General features: G+C 52.4%; 1 protein-coding gene across 43 annotated transcripts in view, besides 4 other annotated features; it reads right to left on the bottom strand.

Annotated features, from left to right (window-relative positions):
* The window catches only part of COL13A1 (collagen type XIII alpha 1 chain), a 157,239-nt gene that overhangs the window by 44,193 nt on the left and 98,710 nt on the right, over positions 1 to 14,336 (bottom strand). For all 43 annotated transcript variants that reach the window (XM_047424600.1, NM_001368882.1, XM_011539294.4 and 40 more), the window contains 3 exons: positions 12,097 to 12,204; positions 9,993 to 10,019; positions 9,130 to 9,165 (listed from right to left, as the gene is read on the bottom strand). In XM_047424600.1, the coding sequence (XP_047280556.1) occupies positions 9,130 to 9,165; positions 9,993 to 10,019; positions 12,097 to 12,204 (171 nt within the window). The remainder of the gene's footprint in view (positions 1 to 9,129; positions 9,166 to 9,992; positions 10,020 to 12,096; positions 12,205 to 14,336) is intronic.
* Positions 43 to 132: a silencer, noted in NCBI's record as "silent region_2437". NCBI's record gives its function as "represses an Ori minimal core promoter by ATAC-STARR-seq in GM12878 lymphoblastoid cells {active_cell/tissue: GM12878}" and the evidence as "EXISTENCE:reporter gene assay evidence [ECO:0000049][PMID:35858748]".
* Positions 193 to 242: an enhancer, noted in NCBI's record as "active region_3494". NCBI's record gives its function as "activates an Ori minimal core promoter by ATAC-STARR-seq in GM12878 lymphoblastoid cells {active_cell/tissue: GM12878}" and the evidence as "EXISTENCE:reporter gene assay evidence [ECO:0000049][PMID:35858748]".
* Positions 9,953 to 10,453: an enhancer, noted in NCBI's record as "H3K4me1 hESC enhancer chr10:71664255-71664755 (GRCh37/hg19 assembly coordinates)". NCBI's record gives its function as "activates a minimal SCP1, AML or CMV promoter by ChIP-STARR-seq in primed H9 embryonic stem cells {active_cell/tissue: H9 hESC(primed)}" and the evidence as "EXISTENCE:reporter gene assay evidence [ECO:0000049][PMID:30033119]".
* Positions 11,446 to 12,045: an enhancer, noted in NCBI's record as "H3K4me1 hESC enhancer chr10:71662663-71663262 (GRCh37/hg19 assembly coordinates)". NCBI's record gives its function as "activates a minimal SCP1, AML or CMV promoter by ChIP-STARR-seq in naive H9 embryonic stem cells {active_cell/tissue: H9 hESC(naive)}" and the evidence as "EXISTENCE:reporter gene assay evidence [ECO:0000049][PMID:30033119]".

Below are 14,336 nucleotides of genomic sequence, written 5' to 3'. Positions count from 1 at the left end.
GGGTCCTTAGGTCTGTGGCCCATCATAGGGGTGCAGGGGTCAGAGTGTGGGGGCCGCTCAGCGCAGGATGCCCAGAAAAGCTCACTGCCTGTGTGCACAGCCGCTCTGTGGCCAGCAGAGGGCGTGACAGTACCTCATCTGAAGTCTGGCTACTCCCGCCACAGCGGTCTCCAAGCCCTCTCAGTAGTACCAGCTGAGGGCTCCTGTCATTCTTTCCTTTGGAGGGTCCCCTGCTAGCATTCTGAATGACCAGACCAGTTTGACTCAGTACAGAGGCCCCCACAGTCCTCTGGTGTGGGTGCAGGTGGGAGGTCAGCTTGGGAGTCCTTGACTATTCAGAGGCCCCCGTCATCCCTCTCTTCTACTTTCTCTGTCTTTTCTCTTGCTTTCCCTCAATGCCTCTGCCCTCTTCTTCCCACCTCCATTTCGAGGAGCTGGGCTGGCAGTGCAGGTGACCACAGATAAGCCACTTTCTCCCACTGGTCCAGGGTTCTTGGTTGCAAAGTGCGGTTAGATCAGATACCTCCCATCCACTGGTGCTCCTGTCTCTTCCCACCCACCCCAGCCCTTTCTCTGCTCCCCTGCACAGCCCTTTGGAAGGAGAGAGGCCAAAGCTGGGGAGGTGCCATTTGGCTTGGTTGGCAGCTCCAGAAAAAGGCTCTGTGGGGTGGGGAGGGACTCTTAGCTTTGGTTAAAAATGCAGCTCTAGGAGGGGTCTCAGTGGGTCCCTGCTCTCCCTTCCTCCTGCCCAGAGGGGTGCTCCTGCAGGGAGGAGGTGGTGTCTGCTTCAAGCTTGTCTCTGGGCTTCTGTCTCCAATCCTGGAAGAAACTGTGCAGAGCAAAACCCCGGAGCGTGAGAGTCTCCAGGCTAATTGGGGTTGTCCTCAGCCCCTGTTGATGTGAGTGTGTAAAGACACAATCAGGTACTCAGGGGAAATCAGAGCCCCAGGAGCCTCCTCGGGAGGCAGCCCTCCTTGTTAGGGTGGCTGACCTTCGCCCCTTCCCTCCTCTCTGGGTCAATTCTCTTAATTTCGCAAGTGACCCGGGCTTCCTTGATCCCCATGGCAGGGCCTCCCTCCCTCCCACCCCCTTGCTTGGCAGGAAGCAGGGGCGCCCCCACTGGCCTCCCCCAGCTGACCTCGCTCTGCCGCTCACTCCACTCTCATTAGGCTCACTCCCTGGGGCTTGTCTCCAGGGACCTGCCCCTGCCTGACCTCTGAACTGGGGAATGGCTTCTCCTAAAGCCAAAAACATTGGTTCCTGGATGATGGGGAGGTGAGAGTCATTATCAAGGACTCCAGCGTCGTCGCTGTGGCTGGGGCCCATGTGCAGGAGGCAGGAGGCGGGGGAGGGGGAGGGCGTGGTTATTGCCCGAGGAGGACAGTGGCCCACCTCTGTTCAGAGGACTGTTCCTTGGGGCATGTCTTTGTGTGAGCCTGTCTAAGGGCTCCTTCTTTTCTAATTCCCCTCCTAGGTTTTCCTATTTAAAAAGTGTATTAGTAATTGTGCTCAGTTTCCATCCACTCACTCATCACTGTCTTGGTTTTTGGAGGGCCTGGCTCACTCAGTCCAGCAAAGCCCACAGGCCTCAATTCACCTCCTCTATCTCTGCCCCCTCTTGTCTCCCCAGAAGGGACTCAGAAGTTCCCCTGGGGGCTCTCAGCCGCCTTACTTGGGCTGGGGAAGTGGGTGCTCTGAGCCTTACAAAAGGTCTTGGCCACGTGCATGGTGTGATGGCAGAAGCTGTGACTCCTGGGCCAACATCCAGCCACCCCTCTGCAAGGCTGGCTTTTTAACCTCAGTGCCAAGAACCAATGCAGGAAGGGATGGATTGTAGTCATTGTGGCTGAGAAGGCTCTAGGGGAGCACAAGTGGGTAGAGAGGCGTTTGCTTTGAATGACCTTGAAGGCCTGTCCCATCCCTGATTTTGAGGCTGCCACTCAGACTCCCCAGCTGGGCACTGCACCTGAGCACCACACAGCATTGATAGGTCCTCTGTTCTGGTCCAAGATTCCAGGTGGGAGGATGCATCCTTTACAGAGATGATAGAATGGAAGTGAGCTCCTTGGAGCATAAACCAGCCAAGCTCTGCTCCTGTGGGAGTGGCCTCTTAATTGGCGATTTACTGTTTGTTGAACAAGCTGGGCAGGGACTTGGCAAGAAAGCACAGTCTAGAGGAAGGAAGGGGGCTTTACGGTCAGCTCCCAGCCAAGGTCAGGCCAGGGAAGCACGGGGAAGTAAATGAAGTTCTCTAAGATTAGGCCTGGTTTCTGCTGCAGCCAGGTCTGGGTTGGAAGGCCCTGAGCAAATGCATCTGGTGGCACAGGCTCTTTGTTCTCTGTAAGGGAGGAGGAAGGCCCGCCTGAGAGTGTGGGGAGTTTGCGGGGAGGGGTGGGGGTGGGGGGCGGTCGGTGGACAGCTCAAGCCTCAAGCCTGGACCAGGGTCTTTTCCCTAGGCCAGAAAAGCCAGGTGTGGAGGGCTAACGGTTTTCTCCCTATAAAGAGTTCCCAGGTCTTCCTTCCGGGAAAAAGGCAGCTCAGTTCCTGCTTCCCTGCTACAGCCATCTTCCACACCAGAGAGGACCGGAACCGCGGAAATCCTAGTTCCTCCTGTAATTAGGGCCGGCAGGAAGTGATCCGGGGAATTACCGGGGTCGGGTGCCCCATTGAAGGCCAGGGCTTTGGAAGGGCAGCTGGCTTATAATCTCAATTTGAGATCGGTTGATTTTGTAGTTAGTTCCAAAAAGAAAAGTCAGCTCTAATTAATCTTGGACTTTGGAGTGCATGAAAAACAAAGCCCAGAGTGCTCAGGGTGGGGGCTGGGGTCGCTTTAGTCTCCACAAGGTCTCAGATCAGAGGCCCAGATCTTAGTTTTCTTATCTTTAATGCGAATGGTCCCCACTAGGATTTCACAGCTTTCAAAGAAAATGCTGTCCCCGCACTAGCAGGCTCCTGCATCTAGGGCTTCCATCTGCACGGAGCACTCAGTGGGAGTGGGAACCGCATGGGCTACTCAGGTCCTACAGGAGCCGGAGGGGTGCAGGAAGGTTTCAGGAATAGCTGTCGTGGAAGGTTGGGGCAAGCTGCCTCCTCCAGGCTTTATTGGGAGTCCTGAAACCATCCCAACTCCCTGAGGGACTTATTTGGATGGAGTCAGTGCCAATGGGCAAAGCACTCCACTTCCTTAATTCTTTGGCAAGAGCAACACACCAAGTACTCCCTGTTCTCTGCTGCAGACTCTGCAGACATGCTCCCAGGGAGCCTGGAGACTCAGAGAAAGGCCTGAATCCAGCCTTCTCTTACAAGAACGAAAACAGCTCAGCTGCCACCTCCTTTCCTTCCATTCATGGAGGGGTATGGGGGAAGGTCTACTGGAAATCATCATGGGGTCCCCCAGGGCTGCTAAGAGGCAGATAGTAAAGCCATTCAGAGCAAGGCTTTGGGATCACACAGACCTGGCTTCTCTATTTCCTAGCTGTGGACCTCGGGGAAAATGGCCTCTGTGAACCTCAGTATGCTCATCCATAAGTTGGGAATTGAGTAAAACCTACCTCACAGGGTTGTTACAAGGATTCAATAAGTTGATGCATGCAAAGTGCCTAGTACACAGCCTGGCTTGTTGAAGAAGCCAGTAAGGTAGTTACAATTGCACGAGTTATCATTCTACAGAAGTGTGTCCACCACACGGGCCCTTGCTCTGGCTGGCAGATCAGAATCCTCATGCCCTTTGGCTGAAGCATTGAGAAGGGGCAAGGGGAAGGGCCAGCACAGCCACAGAATGAAGGCTGAGATGGCTGGGTGGGTGGGCTTCTGTCCCTGTGCCCTTCCCCAGCCCTCTAGCCATCTCATCATAGGGCCCATCCACTCTCCTCCCCAGGGCATTCCTGTTTCTGGGGAGCCCCACTGGCCTCCAGGAGGGGTAGCTGCAGTTGCAAACAGCTCTAGCCTGAAGCTCTCATTTCCTCCTCTGGTCTGAAACCCACAGCCTGAAAGAGGGGAATGTGTGTTTCAGCCATGGTCCTTCATGCAAACCATGAGGCTTAACATCCAGGCCACCACAGGCATCAAATGCGCCCCCAAAGTGAGACAGACAGACCAGTTCTGCGTACTTAAAAGATAAGCTCTCACCAGGTTTTGTGATCCACACACAATCTGACAATACTCGTCAACCCCCTTGAAAGAGAGCCAAGGTTGTAATGTTTTAAACACGCTTTGCATCTTGCAACATATTTAAAGTAGATCAGTGTCATAAATTTGGATCAAATAGATACCACATGGGTGCACAACAATACTCGCAGTGTCTAGGCAGGAGGGCTGGCCCTGACTGGGGCATGGGGGCAGCACAGGGGCTGCTGGCCACACTGGGCTTTGATCTCAAGGAACTGATGGAGAAGCCTGCCTTGCGGGTCTGGCTGGCTTTTAAGAGGATACCAGGCCCAGTCCAGCTGCTGGGGGTGGTGGTGGACATTAGCAAACTTCATAGACTGAGAGCCTGTGGTGTCAGAAAGGTGTCCCTCCAAGTGGGTCAGATCTCTGGGGTGAAGCAAGGAAGCTCATGTGGGGGGCCCATCAGTTACCCCACAGGTCCCGCTCACATCCTGACCTCAAGAGGCAGTCACATGGCCCCTGTCTCAGCTTGGCATCCCCAGCTGCTGGCACTGCTCCTCCCCAGGGTGGTAGGGGAGGCCAAACTCATCTTCCCAGCCCCTGAGACCAAGCCACCCTTCGTGTTAGTGCCTCCTCCGTAGGCCTTACTCCAAGCAGAGAGCAGAGCATGGAGGAGAGAATAAAAGAGAGGACTGATGGGCAATAGAAGGGAGGTAGGGGGACAGCCCTCCACATCCCAAAGAAACCATTAGTAGGTGGAGGTTGGGAGGGTTGGTCTGTGCAGTTAGCTTAGCCTGGGGTGAGTCCCCTGAGCAGATATTCAACTTCTGCACCAGGGTGCAAAGACAGACTGGCCACAGGGCTTGATGAGGCCTGGTTTCAAATTCCAGCATGGCTGTTTACTAGCTGTGCAACCTTGGGCAAAGTCTCTCTCATTTAGACAATCAGGATGAGTTCTAACCACTGAGCCATGGTAAGAACTGAATAAGGTGGAATAAATGAACTTTCTAAACTAGAGATGTGAAATATTGCTGCACTGCCCAAAGATGAAAAATCACTTCATCTCAAGATTCAGAGGGGAAATAAACTTCTGCCTGATCATGGTGATCACTGGGGGTCAAGATATCTGCTGTCCCAGTGAGGCTGGGGCAGTGGGATAGGCATTTATAGCCTCCCAAGGAATGACCTCAAGTCCTTCGTGGCAGGCTGCCTGCTGCTGGTCATAGTTCCCAGTGCCAGCCCTCTGACCTTTGGTGGACTTGGAGGCAGTGGAGAGTTAGTGGCAAGATAAGGGTCCCAGCAGAGTAAAGGCCAGAACAGAGGAAAGGGTGCCCAGACCAGCCATGGGCTGTTGGCTTTGCAAGGCTAGTGGCTCCAGTGGCACCTACTGAAAAGACTCAGTGACAGGTTGGGAGCAGTGGAAGCAATGGGAACCTTCCAGTGACCCAGAGAGGCGGTGATGGGGCATGATGGCCTCACAGCCCCTCCAGATTCCATGAGAAGAGGCTACCGGAGAAGAGCAGAGAGGGTGGTCTGGCAGAGACAGAAGGGTTGGGAGGCAAGAGTCCAGCATGAAGGGGAAGGGTCTTCTCCTCAGTGCCTCATGAGACCTAGGAGTGGGGATGCTTCTGACAAGCCCTGGATGTGGATGGAGAAAAGACATGGACGAAGGTTCAAAGAGACAGAGCCTCCTCTCAAGGCCAGGGATCAAGGCTCAGAGCTGCTCCTCTCTTAAGGCTATGGAGCCAACTCTGTCCCCATGAAGCTATGACTTCCCTGAGCTGGAAGGGATTTTCAGTGTCCCAGCTGATACAGAGACTTCTCTAAACACATCCCAGACCAGTCATTATCCAGCCTCTAATTGAACACCTCTGGTGACCAGAACTCCCTCCCTCCCTCCCAAGGCATCTGGCGATTAGGAAGCTCCCTCTTCTGGAGCTGGAATTACTCTTCTTGTAGAGTTTATTCATTGGCACTTGCTCTACTTCTAGTCATGCAAAAGAAAGTATGATCCTTCTTCCACACTAGAGCAGGGAGGCTCTGAGCAAATCTCCCGCTTCCTGGGGACCGGAAGTGCTCCCCCATCAGGAGGGCTACACTGGTCTTCTCTGCAAATTCAATGTAGCCTGGGTTACATGTTTCTTCCTACAATCTGAGTCTAGGATTGCCACTGTCCTGGGACCAGGCCCTCTAGCGTCAGGACACCCTAACCCCAAGCAGAGGATTCTCCGTACTCAGGACAGCAGACCCCATGCCCCTTCTGGATGAATCACTCTTCCAGTTTGCAGCAGAATGCAGACACCTGTCATGGTATGATGCCAGCCAAGGGCATCGCCGTGATGCCTGGAGACCCTCTGCTGCCCTGCAACTCCTTCACAGCTTGAAAGAGCTGGCCCTGCTGCTAATGAAAAACTGATCCCGCGTTGCACCAGGAGGCAGTAAATTTTATGAGTCTGTGTGAGTGGATAGAGGCAACTGCGGGGGCTGATTTCCACTTCCTGATACAATACAAATGTCTTAGTTTATGTAGAACTAATTAAAGATCTCTCAGGTCTTGCCATTTCATTCACCAGGCACCCATAAAGCCATGTGGTTATGGCAACCTCATGACTGCAGTGTGCGAGGAATGTGCTTTGGAGGGAGTGCTTCTTCCCTTCCCAACATTTCTGCCCCTCTCCTGCTGCTGCCTTTCCTTCCTGCCTCTTTTCTCCTCCTGGAAGGCTCTAGCAGCTTCCCAGCCAGGGTCTGGAGGGCAGGGTTGCACTCCTTACAGCAGGTGGTACCATGGGAAGGACCCAGACCTGGAACTGAACTCCTGCTCTGCCACTTATGAGCCAGGAGACTTTGGAGAGCTCCAGTGCTATGGTTTGAATGTGTCCCCCATAGCTCTTGTGTTGGAAACTTAATCCCCAATGCAACAGTGTTGAGAGGTGGGACCTTTAAGAGGTGATTAGATTATGATAGCTCTGCCCTCATGAATAAATTAATGTTGCTGTCGCGGGAGTGGGATAGTTATCACGGGTTAGTTATTGTGGGAGTGAATTAGTTATTGTAAGAGTGGGTTAGTTATTGTGGGAGTGGGTTAGTTATCATGGGTGTGGGTTTGTGATTGCAGGAGTGGGTTAGTTATCATGGGAGTGGTTTAGTTATTGTGAGAGTGGGTTAGTTATTGTGGGGGTGGGTTAGTCATCATGAGAGTGGGTTAGTTATTGTGGGAGTGGGTTAGTTATCATGGAAGTGGGTTAGTTATTGTGGGAGTGGGTTAGTTATCATGGAAGTGGGTTAGTTATTGTGGGAGTGGGTGTGTGATTGCGACAGTGGGTTTGTTATAACAGCAAGCCCAGCCTTCTCTTGCTCGTGTTCTCTCGCCCTCTCCTGCCCTTCCACTGTCCACCATGGGATGACACAAGAAGGTCCTCACCAGATATGGGCCCCTTGACTGTCGGCTTCCCAGCCTTCAAAATGGTAAGAAATAAATTTCTTGTCTTTATAAATGACCCAGTCTGTGGTATTCTGTTATAGCAACATGAAATGGACTAAGACACACAGTTTTCTCATTTTTTAAATAGGAGAATAGTCATACCAGCCTCACAGAGTGGTTTTAGGGCTAAAAATAATGCAGTTTCTGTTGAAAGATAGTGCCTAGACCATAGTATGTGTTCAGTAAGTAGTGACTACCATAAAATTATTATTGCTATTACAGTTATTATAATGACTGCTTCTGGGTCTTTGCTCAAATTGTTTACCTATCTAAAATATTGTTTCCATTCAGATTTTCTAGTGGAAGGCCCACAGTGGTAGATTAAAAATGGCCATAACTGGGCGCGGTGGCTCACGCCTGTAATCCCAGCACTTTGGGAGGCTGAGGTGGGCAGATCATGAGGTCAAGAGACCGAGACCATCCTGGCCAACATGGTGAAACCCCATCTCTACTAAAAACACAAAAACTGGCTGGGCATGGTGGTGTGCACCTGTAGTCCCAGCTACTCAGGAGGCTGAGGCAGGAGAATCACTTGAACCTGGGAGGCGGGGGTTGCAGTGAGCCGAGATCACGCCATTGCACTCCAGCCTGGTGACAGAGTTAGACTCTGTCTCAAAAAAAACAAAAACAAAAACAAAAAACAAACAAACAAACAAAAAGGCCACAAATGCTTTCTACTCCTCCAGTGAAGAAGTAGAGCCTAAGACTCTTCCCACACTGACTCACATGACTTGGTCATGTGACTTGCTTCAACCAATAAGACATTAGAAAATGTGATACAAGCAGATACGTGACAAGTCTTTATGCACTGGGACCTGCCCATTTTGAATGCTGCCCTGGACCTGCTGTGCTGTAAGGAAGTCTGTCTAGCTTCCTGGAGGATAAGAGGCCATGTGGAGAACAGGGCCCCCCAGCCCACAGCCAGCATTGACCACCAGACATGTGAATGGGGCCATCTTGTCCCCTCCCACCCTTCTATCTGTCATGTGGTGTGACTGCATGAGTGAGCCCAGGTGAGATTAGCAGAATTCCCAGACTGTCAATCCACAGAATTGTGACAGAGAGTCAGTAAACTTGGAATGGTTTGTTACACCGCAATAGATAACTGATACATCTGCCCATTCATCAAGGTTGAGTTCTCAGGCTGTCTTCTCCCAGAATATTTCCCAAACTTCTCTCAACCTGAAATTTGTCTCTCCACCTCCTGTAATCGTGCAGTGCCTTGTGACAGTAGCACTTAATAAAGTCTGCCTTCACTGGGGTTATTTGTGCAGGAGTGCTTCTGACTCTCTGGCCTGTAAGAGCTGGACCCCTCCATGTCCTACATCCTGGCTCAGCACAGAAAGAACTCTGCCTAGGTGGATCCCAGTAATTTGGCTCCCACTTATCAGGCCCTCGGGGGGCCAGTGAGAACCTGGCCTGCCTCACTACAGGCACAGCCACCTAGGTTGGAAGGGAGAGACCCTCTTGGGTCTGAGGTCCAGTAGGCCACTGATTTGTCCAAAGTCCTGCCCCACTTGGGTCCTCCCCCTCCATCTTACCTTCCGGCCGTGGTAGCCCTGGATCCCTGGGTCTCCCTGGGAAAACAAAGAGAAGGCCATTAAAGAGGTTTTCCCACTGCCAAACTTTGACTTGTGCTGTTCCCCACACAATACCATCCCTCTTCCTCTCGATGACTCCAAGTTCCACTGCCCCTTCAACACCCATCTCCAGCCTTCCCAGGAGCAATAGCTCTTAGCTTCCTCTGAGGACAACACAGATTGTTCTACTCTTGAGAACAGGCTCCACTTTGCAGAGGCTGAGGAATGGTGGGAAGAGTCACTTGGGTAGAGACCCAGGAGACCCAGGAGACCTGATTCTATTGAACATGGACAAGTCACTTTCCCACAGGGCTCTTAGCTTCTGCATTTATAAGATAGTTAGGCACAATCAGCACTGGGCATCTTCTTGTCCCCAGAGCCCCAGGGTCCCCAGCTTCAAAGGGAGAGCCTGTTTGACATTGTGGGCTTCTGGGTGAGGGTTCACAGGAGACTGGATTACCCTAGAGGTCTCTTCCCATTCTGACACCTTATAAAACACTATTTTATTGGGATATTGTGACGGTGTTCTGGGCATGAGCTTAGAGTTTCCAGCTAGACGCTATACTCCTTAGAGGGTGGACTGTGCCTTCAATGCCAGCCCGTAGCACTAGCTTCATTGGCGTGAGCACCCAAGAAGTGCAATTCTTGTTGGAATCAAGTTAGTTCCTGAGAAGGGTGGTGTTTTGTAAGTGGGTCAAGCTTGATCTGTCTCTCAGCTGAGATCCCTCTCTGCTCCTGCCTCAGTCACCTTCTGTGCTGCCTCCCCCTCCCTCCTGCAGGGAATTCTCCCACCTGTTCAACACATCACCCAGAAGGACACTCACCTTTGGTCCAGGAGGCCCAGGTAAGCCCTGTGGAAGCAAAAAAAAAAAAAAAAAGAAAAAAGAAAAGGTGAGTAGAGCTGGTTGGGGCTAGCCATACTTACAGTAGACCCTAGGGGCAGAGCAGCTCCCAATAGCTATGGCAAGAGAATAGGCATGCTATAGCCAACAGCTCTAGTGGATCCTAGAAGGGGATCTGAAACCTGCTGAGGGCACGTGGGGATAACAGGCTTATGTCCCTCTTTGCAGCCATGTGGGGGCCGCGGGCAATTCTGCTGTGCTCACCCATGGAAAGTAGGTCAGCAGCATCATGCTAAATTGACAGTGTGGTTTGGTCCAGATCCTCATTCACCCACCTCCTAATTGGAACCCCTCCCTAGAAAGCCGGCCTTGCCCAGCAAAGCCTCGGTTTTGCCCTTGGTCCTGCCTGCCAGTGGAGGAGCCCTCTGTCTCCTTCTGCCCATGGTGCTGTGGGCATGGCAGCTGGCCACAGTGAGGTGGTGTGAGCCGAGGGAGAGGCCAGGGAAGGCTGCTGGCTCCACCGCAGCCTTGGGTGTAGGTGTGGACAGCAAACGTGGGCTGGAGAAAGCCGTGATGCCTGAGTCTGGTCTATTGCAATTGGGTTAAGAAACATGCTCTCTGGTTTTCTTTTTTTGGTTGTCGTTGTTGTTATAAACAACCTAACAAAGAAAACCACCTGGCTTGGGTTCAGTGGATGAGAGCCCCAAGTGTTAGGAGGGGGGTGGGGTAGAAAGGGCAGCGGTCAGCAAAAAGTGAATTTGGAGCACTTTTTGGTTTTCTTGCCTTAGTTTGGTTCCGTTTCCTGAGTTTCCCTTCCTTTCAGGTTTTCCCATCTAAAAACTGGTGGAAATAAGACTAACCCCCCTCTCTGGGGTGCTGGGGCGAAATTGTGGAAAAATTTAAAATTCATTTCAGGGGTCAAGCATTGCAGGGGTCATTGTGCTGGCCTTCCCAGCCAAGGTGGATGCTGTGTTCGGCCATAGCTGTGGCCCGGCCCAGGAAGACCCTATAACAAGCTTTGAGATTGAAAGCTGGGCAGCCAAGGGGCCCAGACATGCAAACAGGCCATCTAGAATGTGGCCGTACACACAGGGTGCTAATTGTTGGGGACATCCTTGCCCAGTGATTCCACCTCTGGGACTCTATTCCAGCAAAACTATCAGAGATGCGCACAAACATTATGTTTCTTTGTCTATGTTCCATTCTTTTCACAATTAATTTATGGTGCTTTTGTCATAAGAAGGAAAAACAGGTTTTGTTTTGGTTTTTCTACCACATGGGAAAAACATTATTTAAAAAGCATTTTGCCCTTTACCTGCCTCTCCAATAACATTAGTCTTACGGGTGGGTGGAAGACCCGTTTTCTCTGAAGTCCAGGTACCCACTGAGTTATTCTGTCCTGGGGCTTTGTTGTATAAATTGGGCTGGGAAAGAGTGGAGTCTTAGCCAGGGCTTGAACATGGGTGACTTGGCGGCCGCTGGGCTTGACCTGTCACTTGAATGTGGTCCAGCCTGGAGAGGTGCCAGTTGGCCTCTCTGGAGTCCTCCAGGCAGTGACCCTGCAGGCCCCGCAGGCTTGATGCATCCTCAGGCTTGGCGCAGGGCTCTTGGCTGACTGGACCTTCAGCTCAGCTGGCAGGTGGCCCAGCAGTGTGAAACCTGCACACGCCCCTGGAAGGCATGTTCACTGGGGTGCCAGGTAGTTGGATGACCCCTCACTACCTCCTTCAGAACCCACTGCCTGACTCAGGTTTTGCTAAGGGGCTCAGGGATAGCCATCAGAGGTGCCCTTGGGAATTCTCTTTCCAAATTCCTCTCTGCTGGGGCTGGGAACGGGGCAGGCAGGCCATTGGCGGTCTCCTCCCTGGAAGGCAGGGAACATGGCCCAGGTTGTGTTTCAGAGCCAGAGTGCAACAGGTGGTGAGTGTGATGGGGATGAATAGCCCCTTGCATGGTTCACCCACATCCAATGGCCCTGCCAAGGCATTTCTGCTTTTTGTAGGGGACCCACTGCCTATTCAAGGTTTGGAGGTTTCCAGAGAGTTCTTGGGATAAGTCTTGAAGGAGAGAGGAAGGGAATACTTACAGGTGGCCCCATAGGCCCTGGCAGTCCTGGGTGCCCCAGAGGTCCACTTGGTCCAGGGGGGCCTGGGGGCCCTGGTGGACCTTGGATGCTGGCCTGGCTCTGTTCGCCCTGAGGTTCATGGAAACGAATGTTAGAGGGAAGGCCCCCAGAGCTGCAGACCGTCCCCCACCCTCAGGCCATGCACCCAGTGAAGGCCTGCTGTGATTTCTGCCGGGAAGGAGTGGTGATGGGGGGAGGAAGCGGTGGCATGATGGTGATGATGCTGTGGTAGTGGTGATGACATGCAGGGGCTGGTGGCAGTGAGAAGAACGCCAAGATGTTAGGTCCCTGAAGGTGGGGCTTCCAAAGAGGAGTTGCTGCGGAGAGACATTCTGCGGGGGGGCAGAGGCAGAGGAGTGGGTGGGAGACAGCCCCTGGCCCAACCAAAGGCCTGCTCCCAGCCTGGCCAGATGGCCTGAATCTTCAGCCTGGGCCTGCCTCTGTCACCCTCCCTGTGTGGCGAGGCACAGTTCTCCCTAAGCCCCAGTCTCTCAGCCATAGAATGGGAACAATAGCCCTCGTTTCCTGTCTCAGCTTTTTGCTGTCTTTATCTGACCCAGAGGATCAAATGGGATCCTTAGGTCAAAGCCCATGGAATTTTATTTGGCTCACTAAACAACTGAGCAAGAGACTTTACATATAAAATTTGAATTGGTGGCTTCTGATGAAACACTGGGAACCCTGGCTGAGCTGGGCCCACATTCCTACGTCCAAGGAGTGGCTGCCTGTTAAGTGGGGCCTGAGTTCTCTGGCTGCTTTTGTCCTCTCCCTCCTAGCCCTTCTCACACACAGCCTGCTTCTGTTACTTAAGGTGATCTGCCTGGCCTGGGAGGGCAATTGAGCCTGCAATCTTTGGTTTCATTGAAAGAGTTTGGAAGCTGTGTGGAAGTGCTTTATGCTGCGTGGGGAGGCTGTTATTATTCCCTTGTCTCCTCAGCCAGCTGCTCTGAGCCCGCCTTCCCACCATGCCTGTCCACGGGATGGACTGTGAGCCCAGGGAGGTAGCGATGGCATCATGCTCCCCCTGGAGGAGGAGATGGCCTGGTGCACGTGACCCAGATTTCAGGGCTGGGGCAACACAAAGTCATCTTAGATCTAAACCAAGTCTGGCTCCTTGGTTTGTTATTTTCTAAATGACCTCTCTGGGATCAATCTGGGCTTAGCTCTTGTGAGGAGGGGCCCATCCCTGCAGATGGGCTGAAGCAGAACCTCCTGGCAGGTGTGGGAGCTCTAGGGTGGAGGCTGGGGGATGCAGGCGGCTGGAGTTCCAGGCCGGCCCACCTTTCTCAGAGGATCTCAGCAAGCCCCTATGACACACCTGAGGGGTCTCCTGCTTCCCCATGCGAGGAAGGCAGCTGATGATGCTTGCTGCAAACTCTAGAGGGAAGTGGTGGTGATAAATAGGAGTGCACAACCTGGGAATGAGAAATGTAAGCTTTCAGCAAGACCTGCTTGCACCATCTTTTGGCTGGAAAACCTGTAGGCAGATGGCATCTAGCAGTGTCACTCTGGAGCCTGGGTCCTATCCTGCCACACCCTCTGAGAAGCCACTTTAGGGCTCAGGGTGTCCATGGCAGAGGAGCAGGTGTTGAAATCACTGTGGCAGCTGCCCTGACTGCAGGTCCCCCACCCGGCTGCATGTTGGTTGTTGATAAGTCTCAGGTGTCAGTGTTTCTTCTGAACCAAGAAAGGCTTCACTAAGCCTCAGGCCTTAAAAAGGGACCAGTGCAGCCTCCTTTTCAACCACATCAAATCTGATTCAGCTGCTTGGGTCCCGGAACCTCCTCAGAATCCTGTACTTTGTGTGTTTATATTTTTTGTGGGTTTCTACATTCACAAGATGGGGGAGGCTTAGTCTGAAGTAAACTCCCGAGCTCCTTTCTGGCTGTGAAATTCTAGAATCTTCATAACGTCACAAGTCCTATGTTACAGAAGAGAAAACTGAGGCTCCAAGAAGTTGAATTCTCTGATCAAAGTCACATGGGAATTCAGGGTGGCGCCAGGACCCAAAGTTGGAACTGCAGACTCTCCCTATTCTTTCCAAGTAAGCCCCCAGCAAAAAGGGCTCACCATCTACACTTTCTGCTCTTTGGAAATGACGTCCAACACCATCTGCTAAGCACATCATATTTCATATAAAGCTTCCTTTTTCAGTGAATCTTAGACCCAATGTTTAAGCGGCTTGTAGAGCCTGTAAAATC

Source organism: Homo sapiens, chromosome 10 (genome assembly GCF_000001405.40).
Source record: "Homo sapiens chromosome 10, GRCh38.p14 Primary Assembly".
Classification (NCBI taxonomy): Eukaryota; Metazoa; Chordata; class Mammalia; order Primates; family Hominidae; genus Homo; species Homo sapiens.
The sequence above is the reverse complement of the archived record's forward strand: the minus strand, read 5'-3'. Positions and strand labels throughout refer to the sequence as shown.